The sequence below is a fragment of the Homo sapiens genome, chromosome 8 (genome assembly GCF_000001405.40).
Source record: "Homo sapiens chromosome 8, GRCh38.p14 Primary Assembly".
Lineage (NCBI taxonomy): Eukaryota > Metazoa > Chordata > Mammalia > Primates > Hominidae > Homo > Homo sapiens.
Genome location: NC_000008.11, coordinates 30,557,469 through 30,575,099, shown reverse-complemented (window position 1 = coordinate 30,575,099; position 17,631 = coordinate 30,557,469). Strand labels below are relative to the sequence as shown.

General features: G+C 48.1%; 1 protein-coding gene across 15 annotated transcripts in view, besides 3 other annotated features; it reads right to left on the bottom strand.

The window, feature by feature from the left end:
- RBPMS (RNA binding protein, mRNA processing factor) overlaps positions 2,844-17,631 on the bottom strand; it is a 187,716-nt gene continuing 172,928 nt past the window's right edge. For 4 of the 15 annotated variants that reach the window (XM_017012980.3, XM_017012990.3, XM_024447054.2 and 1 more), the window contains 2 exons: positions 16,144-16,213; positions 10,729-13,156 (listed from right to left, as the gene is read on the bottom strand). In XM_017012980.3, the coding sequence (XP_016868469.1) occupies positions 13,097-13,156; positions 16,144-16,213 (130 nt within the window). In that variant the 3' untranslated portion in view covers positions 10,729-13,096. The other 11 variants (NM_001008711.3, NM_001008710.3, XM_017012981.3 and 8 more) reach the window with 8 other exon arrangements.
- Positions 9,695-10,303: an enhancer, noted in NCBI's record as "H3K27ac-H3K4me1 hESC enhancer chr8:30422314-30422922 (GRCh37/hg19 assembly coordinates)". NCBI's record gives its function as "activates a minimal SCP1, AML or CMV promoter by ChIP-STARR-seq in naive and primed H9 embryonic stem cells {active_cell/tissue: H9 hESC(naive and primed)}" and the evidence as "EXISTENCE:reporter gene assay evidence [ECO:0000049][PMID:30033119]".
- Positions 15,977-16,476: an enhancer, noted in NCBI's record as "H3K27ac hESC enhancer chr8:30416141-30416640 (GRCh37/hg19 assembly coordinates)". NCBI's record gives its function as "activates a minimal SCP1, AML or CMV promoter by ChIP-STARR-seq in primed H9 embryonic stem cells {active_cell/tissue: H9 hESC(primed)}" and the evidence as "EXISTENCE:reporter gene assay evidence [ECO:0000049][PMID:30033119]".
- Positions 16,477-16,978: an enhancer, noted in NCBI's record as "H3K27ac hESC enhancer chr8:30415639-30416140 (GRCh37/hg19 assembly coordinates)". NCBI's record gives its function as "activates a minimal SCP1, AML or CMV promoter by ChIP-STARR-seq in primed H9 embryonic stem cells {active_cell/tissue: H9 hESC(primed)}" and the evidence as "EXISTENCE:reporter gene assay evidence [ECO:0000049][PMID:30033119]".

Below are 17,631 nucleotides of genomic sequence, written 5' to 3'. Positions count from 1 at the left end.
CTAAGCCCCCACGCCAAAGCTTATGTTGTAGTTTTAAAAAGTGCTCTTTTGTCCAGGTAAATCTTTTATTTAACTCGTGCATCATTTCTCATTGCATTTAGGCCTTCCTTTTTGCTCAGAAGAGAAGTTTGGGTTGACTTTAAGCATTTGGCCCAAGTTCCTAACTTGGAATTAACGACCATGGGCAGAGTTCCACGTGAATTTCTCAACTGGACAAGTGGAACACAAGGACCCGAATTTTCTCTTCCCCTCAGATCGTCCATAGGTGAGATGTATGTGAACAGTGGTGGAGAATGGAAGCCTTCACTGTTTTGTTTATGTTTACCAGCAAATTATTACGGTTTGTAGGAAGAGCTCCCTCCTCCCTCGCCCCCCAAATAGGAATGAGTTTGAACTGAGGGTCAGGAAGAGGTAAGTGGCAGGTTCGTTGGAGAGCTGCAGAGGGGCCTAGTTCTCACAGCACACTGGCATCTCTCAGGATTGGGTAGCTATGGAGCCAGGCCAGTTCACACAAGAGTTAATATTAGTTCCATCTGGGATGTTCTACAGCAGGGACAGATAGCTTTACAGTGGCAGTTATTGAAATTTCCTAATTTAGTGCTCTTGATCAAATTGCTGACAACATACAGTTTTTCATTATCATAGTTATTAGAGTTTTAGGAGAGGCATTTATTGAGGATGAGTGTTTTAAATAACACCTCACTGGTAATGAATATTCTTAGGTTTTCTATGCAGGCTGTAAAGTTGTTTTATGCCATGAGGTTTTATGCCATGAGGGTGTGGAGAGAATGGTTTAAGAGTTGGAGAGGAGAGCAACTGTGTGCCAGAACCTTCCATCTGGGTGGGTGAGAGTGCTTTTGGGAACCTGTCCATATTCTTAGCACAGATCATGTCTTGCCCAAAGCGCTCAGAAACAACTAGTTGAATTTGGACATGGTGGCACGCGCCTATAGTCCCAGCTACTCAGGAGGCTGAGGCAGGAGGATGGCTTGAGTCCAGGAGTTCGAGGCTGCAAGTGAGCTGTGAATCTGCCACTGCACTCCAGTCTGGAGACCCCGTCCCTTAAAAAAAACCTTACTTCTTTATGTCATCTTGACAGACACCAAGAATTCTTGTGTATTGGAACGCAGAATTCAGGGATGGGGCAATAACAATTGCAAGCTAGTCCATGAAAGTAGGGTGGAGACATGTGCATGCCCTGGGTCCAGCTGAGTCTGAAGCCCAGGTGTGATTAATTGGCAATGTAGCGTTCACTTTGTGAACTGCAAGGTTCTTTTCACATTCCTTTAATTTGTAATTTTGTTATAGACGTGGAAAGCATGGTATTTAATTTCAGATGCCACTTTTATAGTTATATCAGTTCGACATTAACAAGGGTTCATTTGGTAATCACACAAAAAGATGGGCTTAGTTACCATCTTTCTGGAGCCTACAAATTGGGACATTTTGCATGGGAGCAAGAGCAAACAGCCTGCCTTTTTCGTATTCCAAGTTCTTGATTCCAGAAGACATACTGCATTCCTTCCTGTTCAATAGAGTGACAAAAAGGGTAACTTCGCACAGACCCTAATGAAGCTGGTATCTGGCTGGTGAGTGGAAATATATCTGGAGGTCACACTAGATTAGTAAATACCATCCAGACTTGTCACTTGCACATCATGAATGACTATCATCAGCATGGGGAAGATTGGGGTGCTCATCCATCCCAGGGCCCCCTGTAAAAAATCATAGGTGACTGTGTTCAGCCAGTGACTGGCTGGGATGGAGTCCGGGCAGTCCCGAGGCAGCAAAACCCCTTAAGAGCTCACTAGCCTCCATTCCTTAGCTGTTTGGCCAATCTCTGGTGCCTATGAGTTGGAGCTCACAGGTGGACCAAAGGCAGATCAGGCGGGCCTGAGAGCCATGCTGGCGTGGCCTTCTAAGCCTGGGCCCAGGAAAGCGTTTGGCCTCTACAGTTACGTAAGTTGGAAGGCAGTGGACACAACCTACGTTTGGTGGCTAGGCTCTTCTGCAGGCAGGCTGTGAGAGCTTCACTGCGGGTCATCTCAGTACCCAGCAAGACTCAGTAGTGGTTGTTGCCACTGCTTGGATGTTTTTTTTTTTTTTTTGCTTTCTTTCTCCTTTGGGGGGAAAAAAGAGTAGGTGAGAGTATATATAAAACACGATTCTCTTGGCAATTGGTGCCTGGTTTTCCACTTTTTTTTTTTTTTTAATTTTTTATGGTTTTGGAGTCAGGGTCTTGCCCTGTTGCCGAGGCTTCAGTGCAGTGGAGCAGTCATGGCTCACTGCAGCCTCGACCTCTTGGGCTCAAGTTGTCTTTCCTCTGTGGTCCCCCGAGTAGCTAGGACCACAGGTGCTAGTACTCCTGGCTAATGTTAAAATTGAGGGTCTTGCTGTGTTGTCCAGGCTGGTCTCAAACTCCTGGGATCAAGCAAGCCTCCTGCCTCAGTTTCCCAGTGTTGGGATTACAGGTGTGAGCCACCATGCCTGGCGTAAGATATATTTAAGTCAGCAGAAAACCCAAGTGACATTTTAATATAATTCAGATAATCCTGAGTCAAGCTTTGTAGGCTGAGGTAGATGAGGGGCCTCCCTTGAGGTCCCTCTGCCTCTGGTGTCATTGTGGGTCACCAGCCACTGTGGTTGTGCGTTTGCAGACTTACTCTCTGGCTTTCCCCGGTATCTGCTTCCTCCTTTAATCTCTTTGTGCCTAAGCTCAATGGCCAATGCTTGCTTAGCTCTGCCGAAGCCTGACAATGGGAATGAAATCTGCTGGCGTCTTGTCTGCAGTGTGGGATACATGTAGTTGGTCTTGCTAAAAAAGAATTTGTCAAGCAATGGTGTGACAGCTGGAATAAGCACTTTATTTTTTAAAAATGACAATAGAAAAGTACCTTTAAACAGTTATAAAAGCATAATAGACTGCAGAAGTGGCTATTTTCCTTAGGAGTACAGTCATCTCACCAAGAGCCGATTGGCACTGAGGGCATAAGCAGGTCCTTGAACACCAAAGTGGATCCGTCACAAGTCCTTGAGCTAACTGCCTTTTCCCCTTATTTACGGTAAGAAAGAGCCCCTCACTCCTGGCCTTGGTTTTTTGTGTTGACCTTTAAAAGCTTCTTGACATCTTTATATTTCTAATGGAAAATAACAAAACAAAAACCCAAACCAACCAGGTAATCATGACATTGAAATTTTCAACATAAGCCGAGCGGATCAATAGGAAAGACTGTGTTTGGCAGCTGAATTTAGGTCAGTGTGGTTTTACAAAAATGGCTTCTGTACAAGGGGAGAGGTTGAGCTGTCATGAACTCTGGAGATGTGTCAACTGACAACACCAGACTGACTTTGGCTTTGACGAAGTCTGAATAGAATTGGTTCCAAATGCCCACTGCCTCCGTCTCCTGTGGGGTGTGGCAGGACGTCTCACAGTGAGCACACGCCATTTGGGAGCTCATGGTATGTGGTCGGTTTGGCCCAGTGCTGCCAAGAGTTGGCAACACCAGCTCAGTTCAGCCGGTGTTTTGCAAACAAACATCACTTTGGAGATACAGACATGAGCTGCCCACTGCAGCCAGGTGGGCTGGGCACAGCCAACCCCTTCAAGGGCCAGGGCTGGCCTCCCAAGCCAAGGTTTTCCCTTACCAGTGAGGCAGGCTCTGCACTTACACTGCGGGAGCAGGGATGCGGGGCTGGCTTGTGGAAGGTAGGTTAGGCATCGAGTGGCTACACATACAGGAGAGTGGAAACATAAAACTGTACAAAGTCACACTTGGCACACAGTTGATATAGTCACAGCTGGAGCTACTAGGGCTTTCTAAGGGCACACTCAGCAGTTCTTACCAATGATGTTTTCTTGCCCAGTTGTGAATAAGCCATAGGTAGAAGCTCCTGGAGGCTTCTGGTTGATTGTCTTGCAGGGCTGTCCTACTAGAACTGGGATCCTAGACCTAACACTGCAAATAACAGTTCTGTTTCTAACATCTAACACCATGCTACTAATTTACCCTGGACTCCGGCCAGGCACAGATTTCTATATATTCACAATACAATTCAGGATATTTTGATAATATTTGGAAACATGCCTCAAACATGCAACTTACTTCAGAGGAAAAAAATAGATATTTTTAATTACAAGCATTCAAAAGTCAAGAACAAAAACTGTGATCCAAACCAGTGTAAGATCGTCCATCCCAGCATACTTAAAATGTTTGGTATAAAAATACTCACTTTTCTTGGTTTTATTGTTGACTTCTCTTACGTTTCGTTTGAAAATATCTCCAAACTGTACAGAAATTTCAGACCATGCATTCACAAATAATACGCTATTTCTTACAATTATACAGTGTAAAAGAGTAAAACATTTTTATTAATTATATTTTTTTCTTCGAGAAAAACAGATGTGTGATAGAGGCTGTGACAAAGTCTTGAAGGGATCAAAACTGGGCAAGGGTTTTTCAAGCCTGAAACAGAAAGAAAACATGTTAGGAGAGCAGGTGTCAACCCCTCCCTAGTTGCGATGGCTTTGTCCTGGAGATGCTGTGGATGGGAGAACGGATGGGTTAGATGACAGTGTGCGGATGTGTGTATAGAACATATTTGCTGACCACATGTGTCAGTGGTCTCACCTTGATTAGAAACATGGGGCAAGTCCTTGGCTCCCGCTCACAAACCCCTACCCTGGCCCAGAGGTTTTCTTGAAACACATCTCAGCTATATTGTATTATTCAGTCACTCCTTTTCCTGCCATCTTACCAGCATGTCACACACGTTTGAGAAGTTGTAGAAAAGGTGTATGCAGAAGGCAATCAATCAGCTCAGCATACACTAGAATTTTGTACAGGGAGATGCTTATTTGTGTGCCGAAAGAGGCCATAAACAGATAATTATTGATAACCTATTTAAATGTCCCAAGTTAGATTTTGTCCCAAGTTAGATTTGGGAAAATGTGTTTTAAAAAGTCCTGAAATGAGAATATTTAGGTGACCACTGAAACATAGCGTACGGGATGAGCTTGTAAATGTTCACACCAAATCTGTCCAATTTGTATCTGACCTGTGACTTTTCACTGCCCAGTTTTTGGACGACAGTATGAGTGGGTAGCGGGTAACGGCCGGCGGAGCAGGGGCAAGCCAGGCAGAGCTTTCCACAGTGGGCCCTGGACACCCTGGACCTTCTCTGTGACGGGCGACTAATACTTGCCTGTCTCTTTAGGTTGTGGCAAATAAATAATGACATTAGTTCTAGCACATCCGCTTAAGTATGCTTACTGTAGACAGCCCTCAAGGCAGCCAAATCCAGACTCATCCCTGTGCACCCCTGGCCTGTCCCTGCCCTTTACACCGACCTCATTTCCTGTCCTCTTGGCTCATCTGCTCCTTCCACTCCACCATCACCATCTTAGGGCCACCTGTGCAGAAGTGTGCTTCTACCTCGAATCTTCATCTACTTTGCTTTGGGCAGCATGACAACAACATTCCTAAATCACTCTCCACCCCTGCTCATCTTTCCAGTGGCTTCCAAATCCCTAACACATCCTTCAAGGCCTTCAAAAGCCTGGCCGCAGTCTACTTTCAGCAGAGCGTGCCGTGCCTGTTCTTACTTCCTCTCTTCTGTTACTAGTCCCCTCAGCATATACAGGCCACACTGTCTTTCAGAACTCATGCCTCTGGAGATCTTAAGGGCTTCCTCCTCTGAGCTCCTCACAGGGGTTCTCACTGACCAGGCCACTTTAGCTTTGACAGGGATCATCCTGCATTATTTTCCTGAGACCTTTTCCTTCTCCTCAAACCCCAGTCACTTGCAGGTGGCCCAAATGCAAACCCTCCATTCAGACACTTAGACTGTAGGACACACAAAACAGGAGTGGTGGGTCATTTATGGCATGTGGCACTGAGACATGGGCCCCTGGGGTTGATGGTGTCTGGCCTGGGAGCAGGCCAGGGGACCAACTTTGGGTTCTGTACACCAGCCCAGGGGCACCCTGAGCCTCCATGGGTAGCTGCAGCCCTGATGAGGGGGATATGGTGGCTCCAGCTTTCCTGGGTAATGAACCACGCAGCTTCCCAATGCCCCAGCCCCTGAGCAGGCGGAATGGCTGCCTAGGAGGGCTAATCTGAAGGGAGAAGGAACATAGGCAGGAGGAGGGCGGGAGCAAGTCTGGTTTTCTGGGCCTTCCATAACTGCCATGTAAATGGGATCCTTGCATGGGAAAGGAATGTAGTCACACTACCACAGATGATCCCAGACTGAACAGAAGGTCAAAATGTGGCTATTTCAGTCCCTGTAAACAAGGAGGAGGTTTAGCTAGGAGCGGAGTTCAAACCTTGGAATGTCTTAACAAGGACATTTTAAACAGAATCCAAAGACATCTGGGAACACAGCCCCACGGAGGGATGGATGGCGGGGTCAGGGTTGGGAACGCATAAGGCTCTGATTAGGAGCAGGTTCTCCTCGCGGGGCCTTCCTGGAAGGGGCCGACTATGACATACAGGTGATGGGACGTCAAGACAGGGAACAAATCTCCTTATCTCAGGTAAGTGGGAACAGTCCCAGTTTGAAGACACTGGAGGATGTCTCTTGGTCTCTTAAGGAATATTACACAATTCTAAAACACTGCATTTTGGGTCTTTGGTGGAACTCAGAACGTGGGGACAGATGGGCCTGGGGTCAGGATGCCCGCTGCCTGCCCCTCACTCTGCGGTCTCTTCGTACCCAGTCAGGGTCTCGGTCCGATGCCTTGGGAGATTTTTCTCCCAGAGGAAAGCCTCCCTTGATCCATCTGCAGCTCCTTGACCTAATTCCTGAGGATTCCTTCCCCAAGAGTTTCTAAGGCTTCCTGGTTACCAAGTCAGATAAGGAATGTTCTCCCCCCAACTCCAAATAAACATGGGCCATCATGTGGCAAAGGTTCCTAATTAAGAGTGCTTCCGTTTTCATTTAATACCTGTCAGCTTCATCTTCAAAAAATCAGGTACTGATATTAATTTGTAATAGATTTTCAAACGTGTCATTGAAAAAGTTCACGGTCTCTGGAGCCTCTAGGGGCATGGTCTTCTGCAGTTTGGAACTCCATTCCAGCCCTGGGGGCCCATGGAGAATGGCCCATCTCTGCCCTCCAAGGGTAGGTCACATAAGCACTGTTGTCTGACCTCAGATTTGGGAAGAGAAAAGCCCCCTCCAAACTCGCTGCTGTAACCCAGGGAAGGCCCCAAGAAATTGTGAGCCCCACCTTAACACACTGGTGCTGAGAACGCCACTGCTCCCCTCCATGCTGGCTGCTGCCGCTCTCTCAGGCACATCTGGGGCATTTGCAACCTGATCCTCAGCTGCCCCCAGGACCGTGACCCAAACCTGTCCCCTCTTTTCTGTCTCCTGCCACTAGGCCCTTCCGTGGCCTACCAGGAAAACTCCTGCTCCTTGCATTGTTGATACTTTGGTTGACTTGCTGCATTTAAAATCATGTCTAACCAGCATTCAAAAATTGCATAAGTGGAAAAAAATGTGCAAGTGGCTTAACTGGTTTTTAAATATCCCCAGGAGGAAGAACAAAATCATGTCTTTTAAAAAAGTTTGAGTGAGTGATGACCATTAAGAGCTTTGACAAAAGGAAAAGCTAGAAGGCCGTGGGCCTAGTGGGATAGACCCAGCTGCCCTATGTGATGTGAAAAAAGCTTGGGTTAGTGCAAGAAACAGGCACCCTGGGAAAAATGCCCAAAGTGCAGGGTCCGGCTTCCTGTGGGAAAGCTCTCTGGGGTGGTGGGAGGTGGGTCGCCCAGTGTGGCACACACCTGATGCCTGCTCCTGGGTCGGCACTGAGAGGTATCGTCGGAGTATGAAGTGACTTAAGCCCCTCAAATGCGACCCCACCTCCTTGGCCAGAAGCGCTTGGTTCTCTGTAGCAGGAATCTTGTTCCTTTCAGACTCCTCTTTTTTCATAGGCCCCTCAGAGGGATGCAGCCTGCCGCTTTATTTAGGCTGAGACATAAACCACCATAGACTCGCCCCTGGCATTCCTGCCGCTCTAAGCCAGGCTTTCCAGAGACCCAACAGCAAGGTCACCTCTGGGAATGCTACAGGAGGATTTTTTTTAGACTACATTTCCTGCTAGTAGCTAACGAACTGAGGAGTGACAGGTGATACCGACTGAAAAGACAGATCACTAAAACCATGAACTACTAAGCTAAAACCATGAACTACTAAGAGGCCCACAGTCTGGAGAAATTAATTGTGAATTCTGATTCAGTCATGCTCCAGGGTAATTATCCTATGTCCCTAAGTCATCAAATGGCTGATCATATGCAGTATAACTGGATTAATAAGATGGGGGGATATACACATTACATCTGAAACAGATTTCCAACAAAATAATAATTTCCCCCCAAAAAAGGCGATGCTTAAAGGGAAAAGCTTCGTTTCAGTAACATTTCCCTAGGTGGAATCCCTCACTCCAGGTGCCACTGGACAGCCAGATGTTCATGGTGCCAGCCTTACCTAAGGAGGACATGGTGAGCACCAAATACTGGGGTGATGGGCTTTAAAAATGTATCAGTTGCTGTCCTGGGATGACCTTCCCTGGCAGGCCGTGTTGGAGCAGATGTTAAAGAGCTCCGGGCAGAATCACCTGGGGTGGAGGGGCACGAGCACCTGGAATGCCAGACCCCACCCCCAGAGGCCCACAGTTCCCACGTGTTCGCCATGCCGCCCCTGAGGGCTTGTTCAGCCCTGACTGTTACTCACCAGCATGCTCCAGTTTTGTAGAACAGCTAGAGAACAGTAGCCACCACTGAAGATTGCATTAATACCCACAAGACAGATTGCAGCCGCCATCACACACCTGGGACCTGGGATGGAGAAAGATCACCCGTTAACGGTGCACAGTAACCTCCACCTGGGGCTGCCTCGGTCTTGAAGACCGGCCTGTTCTGAGGGCAGAGAGCCAAGAGAGGCAACGCCGAAAGAGATCAAAGGCCTCTGCTGCTGAGCTGAGGACCAGAGGCTGCTGCAGAATGGCCTTGGATATGCGACATGAAAAGCTCTCAGCCAGGAAAACGCACTGAGGACTTGGCGGAGCAAGTAAGAGGAGGCTTCTGGGGGCCAGCGAGGAAGGACATTCCAAGAAAAGCATGTGAACTCTTCGCTGAGGGCGCATTAGGAGGCTGCAGGCCCAGCAAGCAGGACTCTACACCCACGTCCCTGTGGTTGCATCCCAAGGGCTGTGGCCTAGACCCGGAGGACTGTCCAAAGGCCCTGCAGAGGAAAGGCATGGGACCTGAGGCCCCCACACAGCAAGATCCAGAAACAGCCACCTCCAGGAGCTGAGCAGCTTTGGTCAGCCCAAGGCCATAGGAAATCCCTGTCTGTCACAGGCACCAAGGACTAAACTTTGCTCCAAGCATCTCCTGGAAAACAAAAACTAAAAGGATGCACATTTGTGAAGATATCTGGCTACTTGTACCCTAGGGTCTGAGAATTTTGAAATACGAAGGTGCAAAGACCTAGCAAAGAATCAGTTTCTAATACTCCCCCTGCAGGCACGGCTGCCTCTGAGCCGGCTGGTTACAGCAAGGATTCCAGTGCCAGGGAAGGAAGCCCAACTCCCTGCATGTGGACACCAGCGGTCCTATTTCCCACTAACATTTCTCAGATCTCCCTCCCTGCAGACAGGCCGTGTCCAGTATGCGAGGCTTATGAGAACTGGAGTGCATAACATACTGCTGCGGACTGTCCGGGTTCCCCAGAAAGGTGGCACTGGCTCAGCTGGCACCTCCGAGTGGTCCCACCAGGACTCTTCAGGGAGAGGGGACTGCGTGTGCTGAAACCCAGCTCTGGAATCAAGAGTGAGCCTGAAGACTACCTTCCTAGGACATCTCTCTCCTCAGATTTAAGGAAGAAAACATTTTCCCCAGAACTTCACTATGCAACATTAGATGATTCTAGTTTCCTAGCAAAAGTTGGGTTACTTGAGAACAGGAAAATAATCATCTTTGCACATGAAACCTATCAATCAGCTCACCCAACCTCTCCAGGACCCCTCCACACAGGAGGGAGAGCACGAGCCACCCAGAGCTGCAGAGCCAGGCCACATTTCCCGGGAGGCTGTATTTCTAGGATGATTAAGAAGCCTCTGGGCTTCAGCTAATCAGTGCGACTCATACAAGTACTGGGATCCTGGGACCCTCCCTCTCCTCCATGTCCCCAGGAGCATAGGGGACAACCCGCTCCTGGGACCTCAACAACAGTTGTCTGCACCCCCGGGTTTACCTGGGCGGGGGGAGGTGGGGGCAGTAACATGAGCCAGAGTCCGGCCAGGAATTGCTCTCAGGAGTCGCGGAGCCCCCAGACCCCATGGCCTGGTCTGAACACGTGGCTACCCTCTTTGAACTTCTTCCAGGGAAGAGTCAGGCAGCTCTGCCAGTGCACATGCTCAGGAGTCTCCAAGGACTCCAGACAGATCCACAGAAAACACAATGGGCAGGAGCAGGTTGGGGGGCTGCAGTTTTCACTGCATTTGGTTGTCACGTGGTTTGTAGAGGAGCTCGGTAAGTGCTTGTGATGTGGCACAGTCCGGAGGACAGTGGTGGCTAGAGGGGCACCCACCACGTCCACAGGACTGACAGTGTGGAGGGTCTTCAGGCCCACCCCTACCTTTAGAGCTCAGATGGGAACCATAACAGACTCCAGAGCTGGAAAGAATTGCAGAACCAGGCTTGCGTCTCCTCACTGGGAAAACAGAGAAAGGTCTCTGAGGAGGGCCCTGCACACTCTCCCAGTGATTCCTTAGTGCTGCGTGGGAGCCAAGCCTGCTGCACTTCCAGTCCATTTACTTTAAGATTACAGGAGTTAAATATTTTCCAAGCCTCACTAAAGTGGAATGTGTTCTGAAAAAGAAACCCCGTATAAAGCTGGTGAAGTTCTAGGTCTTTGCTGAGATGTTACCTTCTCAGGCGGACCCTGCCTGCTTTGCTAACTTGAAGCAGAAGGCACCAGAAGTGCTGGCCGTACCACAACACTGAGCTGCTTACCTGGCCTTATTATTTATTCCCTGAATACTATCACCACCCAAACTATTATGTCTATTTGATTACCTATTACCCATCTCCTCCCCAGGACGCTGCAGCTGCTCACCGTATTAGCCTTAGGTATGACGGACAGTTACGGCGTTAGTAGCCTTAGGTGTGATGTGCAGACCTCACAGCCTCATACTGGTTGGTGGGTGCACCGCAGTGTGATAGCATGACATGGACAGGTGGCTTTCTTCTAAGGGGAGGCCAGCGTGACAGCAGGAGCCACCGCAGCTGTCTGGGCCTCTGGAGCCCCAGTGCCTTTCCTCCTTGTTAAGCTCTAAGCTCCACCTGGGCACCAGCACCTGGGACTCTACTGAGGATGACTCAAGCTCACAGCCAAAGACAGGCAAGGCCATTCCACCCAAAACAGAAGAGAAGGGAAAAATAGCTCCAAATTCCGTCACGTTCTCTCTTGCATTTCCTTCTCCAATCTGGGGAGGCTGTAACTACATGTGCTTATAATTTCTGGGCTCTGGTCCCGGTCCATGGCCAGGAAAATTTCAAGAGTCCTGAAAGAAGACGTCCCCCTACACCCCACTTGGCTCCCAAACGCTGGTTCTTCCCTTTCAAGAACAGTTCAACTCTTTGAATATCCATCAAAGAAAGCTGCCTCACTCTCACTGCATGTAAGGAGTGACAGCAGCGTTGCTCATGCTCGCCTGTTCTCAGTGTATCTGGGAAACTGACAATTTTCAATCGTGATTCTGTATTCTGGGCTCTCTAGCACATGGCTGAACCATCAGCAAAACTCTGGCCACAGGCTGTGTCTGCATCACTAAACTCAACACCATCCATCAGCAAGAGGCGGAGCAAATTAAAACACCAGTAACACCCTGTCCCCTTCTGACCCCCCCTCTCCTGATGGCCTTGCTTATGCCACAGGAACAGCATGCACATGGCCTGTACATGCCCTCAGCTTGGCTCTCCTCACAGCAAGCTGGTCTTGCAGGATCATGAGCAGTAACTCCCTCTCCTGTACATGTGTCCACAGTTCTCTGCCATTAGAACTTAAGCTCCTGAGGGGCACAGGCCTGTTTTTTCATTTTTGTATCTTGGACACAGCAGACACAACAAATGTTTGTCTAGAGAATAAAGTTCTTATTTACATATCTAGTCTAGTCACTGATTTCTCTTTAGCACTAAGAAGTCCAAGTAGATAAATGAAAAATCCTTGAAGGACCTCTGGGAGTGCTGGCCTTTGAGGATTTGGAAGGACGGCATCACTCCTGCTCGTCTTCTGTTCTTTCCGTGCTGGGAAAGCAAGATGGGGAAGAAAGCCCTCCCCGCCGAACGGAGAGAGCCATGTGGGCCTCTGCCAATGAATGGTATGCGCCTTTCATTTGGCCTTTTTGACTTGTTCTGGTTTAAAAATGTTTATATTAGCTCATCAGCACCACTGTTTCCAATTCTAATTTACATTTGCCTAAGATTACACAGCTTGGATTATGGGCCATCTTGGAAAGGACTTGATCCAAGAGACTAGAAGGAGCTGAAATAATAGATCCGCACTGAGCTAGTCTAACTTTAGATGGGCTGGGAGACTAGACTCCCCCGCGTGCAGGAGTAACGGGCACCATTATCCATACTCCTTCCTCACCTGCTCCCCACAGGCTCCGAGGAAGGAGTCTGGCCCATGGCCCAAGCTTAGCTCAGAACAAATGATTCATCCACGGGAGACATTACATACTCTTTTTTTTTTTTTTTTTCGACAGTCTTGCTCTGTCGCCCAGGCCAGAGTACAGTGGCATGATCTTGGCTCACTGCAACCTCTGCCTCCCGGGTTCAAGCGATTCTCCTGCCTCAGCCTCCCTAGTAGCTGGGATTACAGGCGCCCACCACCATGCTTGGGTAATTTTTGTATTTTTAGTAGAGACGGGGTTTCACCATGTTGGCTGGGCTGGTCTCAAACTTCTGGCATCAAGTGATCCGCCTGCCTCAGCCTCCCAAAGTGCTGGGATGACAGGCGTGAGGCACTGCGCCTGGTCCATTACATATTCTTATTCGGATCTTATTCGGATCTAGGGCTTCTATTAGCCGTACTTCCAAAGGAGGGCAATTGTTCGTCCTTCTAGTAGCCATTGCTGAAGGGTCTGTGAGAAATGATTTGGAAAAAAATTAGGTGAGCAGATACAAATGAAACCCAGGATCTCTGTCACTGGAACCCACGCAACTGCTTCACAATGGATGTCTTCTCTGTGGCCTACATAAATTCTTAAGGGGAAAAAAGCCCTTCCTTAGGTCCCAGGCCAACATCCTTTGCCCACTTCTCTACCAACTGAAATTGCCAAGTTGAAGGTCTTCTCTCACCATGCTTGACTTTCCTGAAGCATCTGACTGACAGAAGTGGCCGGCGCACCCTGCTTCTCCAGCCCGCTCTCCACTCTCTGGGGGCTGCTCTTTCTCTGCTGACTCTTGGCTCTCAGATGTGCTTGGCAAGGGGCCTCTCTTCCAGTTTCACCAACTTCCTCAACGGTCAGTTTATGCTGAGGGTCAGGTCAGTGTTTCAAGCCATGCCTTCTCTTGTGCGCTTCAGAATTTCCAGTTACCTCATCCTCGGCACCTCTAGCTGAACACCCTACCAGCCTCTGACAATGGAGAGCTCAACACACTGTCATGGAATAGGGAGCTGCTCACAGCAGGGTCCGCTCAGTGCCATCTGGAGTTGTAAGGCAGTGCTGGGCACCATGGTAACGGGGAGGTTCCTATGCAACCAAATAAGTAAGGCTTTGGGATCTGTATTTAAAAGTCAATTATGGGCATATGAAGACGAAACATGGACTTACAAAATTCTGGACTTCATAGACCCTAGACTATATCTCAGATATAGTCTTATAGCTTAAGAATGGTATTCCCTGGAGCAAAAAAATCTCTCCTAAAAAGCAAACTTTTAGAATTCACAAAATAATTAAACATTTTAAAAGAACATTTTATCTATCATGAATTGTTAATAAAGGACATTTAAGAGACAATTACCATTTCCTAACACTACCATTTAAAAAGGATACTTAGGCGCGCACACACACGACATGTAATTTCAGAATAAGGGACAAACAAGTAGTACAAGAAAAGCTACTACATTGTCTGGGGTTTTAAATATCATCACAGATTAATGAGCAGTATCACACATGAATACTCATCCAAGGATCTCTATATATGGGGGCCTCTGGTTTCGTTTCTGGCTAAGAGGTTAGGATATGGTTCCCCCAGGCATGAAACATTAGTCTCCTAAGATTCTGTGAAAAAAGGATGACCTGGTTTCAAGTAAGCTTGAGGAACACCGTGTACCAGAGCCCCCTCCTCTTAAATATTCATGATGTTCATATGGTAATAAAGGCTCTGAGAATCTTTGGGTAAAGAAATTTGTTTCACTGACCTTGGAAGGATTTGTGTACTTCACCTGCGATTGCCCCTGAGGACTATTATTATTTGGCCACACTCGAATATGAAGTATTTGAGTTAAAATATGAAATACATTGGGTTAGAGGAAGAGTAGATACAATTTTAGCTTCCTGATGCTGATGTCCTAAAGCACAGAGCGCTCTCTCTCAACTTTCCTATCCCTGCCATCAGAGAAAGAGCTGTGAATGGCCAGGTGGCTGCTGGGCTATGACTGGCTGCTCTGAGAATCGTCTGTGGGCTTCCGACACTCTCATGCCCATTACTCATCTCTCTACTGTCTGCTGAGACCTCTCCTTTGCGAACACAGAAGGGGTCTTCTGACTCGGACCTGAGCTCATCCAAAAGGGCCGGCCTCCTGCGTGATGAGAACTTCAAACATGAAGTCCACACTCAGCAGTCCTCCCAGATCTTGAAGGTGACCTGACCCACCAACCGAGACTTCAGGTCAACAGGGCAACTTACCTGTGCACAATAAACCCTAGCACTCTTTAAAAATCTTATTCAATGCTCTCTTTCTTCTTCACTGACAGGCACTGACCTGCGCGAGTTCAGCTCTAGTGTCTTTTTCTTGTGAGAGGTCTGAAACATTTCTCCATTAAGTGGAATCTAAGTTGACCAGGGGCCTGTTCTTTCCACAGAATGCCTCTCCAGAAGAGTCTATCTAAATGGCTTCAAATGATCTAACAAAAGCATATGGACTCAGTATTAATGGTACAAAAAGAAAAGAACACTAGTTTAGTTTGGAAGTATTTTTATCTTACAATAGAAGTCTCCAAGGAAAGGCCCATGACACTATTGTAAAATCAGGTGCACAGGTTTGCCATGATCTCTTTAGCATTTCTAACAGCATGAGGATCAGGCCCCTCCCTCTTCTCATTTTTCTTCCTATTTCATGAAGGAACTGTGTAAACCAAGAGAAGACTGATGGTGGAACTAAAACATTCTAAAAACTTAACTCTAAGTAGACTCTCCAAATTCACATACTAAATTAGAGTTTAGAAGAACAGTGCCTTGTACTTAACAGAAATTCAGAATTTCTGAATTACAGAAGGCATTTGGTATTTTGTAGAAATGGAGAAAAGGCATTTGGTAGTTCTCTGAAGCAACGTTAGGCCTAAAATGGCACAAAAATGCCCATTTAGGATAGTGCTTCCTTCATGATGAAAACCTTAAAGGAAAGCCTGCTGGAACTGTGCACTGCACCTTTGGTAGGAAAATGAGGTATTTTTTAACGATTAGTACTTTGGATATGATGTATGCAGGGAAACTCATTCTAATAAATCTCCCATAATCAACTACTGTGTAAATTAGTGGATGACTATTCCTGCAACTTAAGGTTTTGATTTAATGCTGGCAGCAGGTGAACTACAATTAGGTAATAAAATGTTCTGACAGCTGTTCTACAGAAATTAGCACTGACTGCTTATTTTTAAGTGGGGAGGCCAGGTACTGGTTTCCTAAGTTAGACTCAAATAGACTAGCACCCGTACCTAGGTGAAAATTTCCTCTCGGAAAAGATGCACTGCTATGTAGTTCAAGTGAGTTTAACAAAGATGGACAAAGGAGGTGCATAAGGTGTGGGTGCAGAGAAAGGAGGAGAGCTGCGTTCATGGCGCACCCACCATGTACAGATGTGTTCTAGGGGCTTCGCACATTCCAAAGGAAAGCGAGTACTTACATAGTATTCAGCAGAACTGACGGGACTTCCAGCCCTGAGAAGTAGCCTCGGAGGGAGGGAGCCAGCGCATCTGAAAAGACATGGGAGAAGGCCGTGAGCCAGGGCTCCCCAGCATATCCCCATTCTCACGGAGGGTCCTGCTTGGCTACCACTTCCCTACTGTTCCAAGATGGTACCCACTCACACTAGCCTGTGAGGGCCTCTTCCCCAAGGGGCTGAAAAGCATCAGAGCGGTGTCCTGAGAGGCGTTCCACACACCATTATGAACACACAGGCAAGCTCTCTGAGGAAAGCACCCACCTCGAGAAGTGCCCGAGGTTCCACCAACTCCTCTGCTCTCATCCTCCTTTTAAAGGTTAGCAGCCATTTGAGGCTAAGATCCGGCACAGCGAATTCCTTTTCCCAGGCCTAGGCTGGTGAAAGGCTATCTAATGGCTTTCTAAGCAGAGTGTGGAAACATAGCTGCTTTGGTAAGGAAGGGGCAGTTCACGACCCCATCCACACCAGTGGCCTGGCCAGGACTACTTTGCGATTCTATTCCTGTTCTTTTAAAAAAAGGGTTCCAGCTTCTTGGCACTGTGTGTGTCTGGTACCCCAGGCCCTCTGTTCACCCTACTGAGGAGATGGGCCTACAGCCTTCAGCAAGGAGCCTCCCAGCTGGGACCAGCAGCCCTGTCTCTTCCATTAGCTTTCTAAAGTGGAAGGCCAGCCGCAAACACAGGTGCATTGAGCAACACTTTGCCCACCTGGCAGCATATTCCAGGTCCTATGCCAAGGAAAACATGAAAAAAAAAAATGGGTGTGGTGGCTCACGCCTGTAATGCTAGCACTTTGGGAGGTCAAGGCGGGCGGATCACCTAAGGTCAGGAGTTCAAGACCAGCCTGACCAACATGGAGAGACCTCATCTCTACTAAAAATACAAAATTAGCTGGGCGTGGGCATGCATGCCTGTAATCCCAGCTGCTTGGGAGGCTGAGGCAGGAGAATCGCTTGAACCAGGAGGGGGGAGGTTGCTGTAAGCTGAGATTGTGCCACTGCACTCCATTCTGGGCAATGAATGAAAATCTCAAAACAAACAAGAAACAAAACAAAAAACACCCAAAAGGGCAAGCGCCGTTTGTCTTTAACGGCATCCATCACTGGACATGTTTTTGGACACAGGCAAGAGATGCCCGCCTCCCACTGCTCTTCCTTTCACATGGAGGCGGCATGGTCTCCCCATGACCACCATGAGCAGCCCAGAAGTGCTGCTGGGAGTGGAGAAGGTGAGGCCTGTGGGGCCAGGTGAGGCGATGCCCTCCCGCAGGGTGGCAGAGGAGGACTTACTGAGATCTCCAAAGCTTAGTGATGAAGCAAGAGCCATTCTGGCTGAAATGGAGGTGCAGGGGGGTCTGGGAGGCAGCACTGCACAACGCAGGGCTCTGAAGGGACTGGTGGAAAGCTCCTGCCTCATCTCCTTGTTTTACAGGTGTGGGCACCAGCTGAAG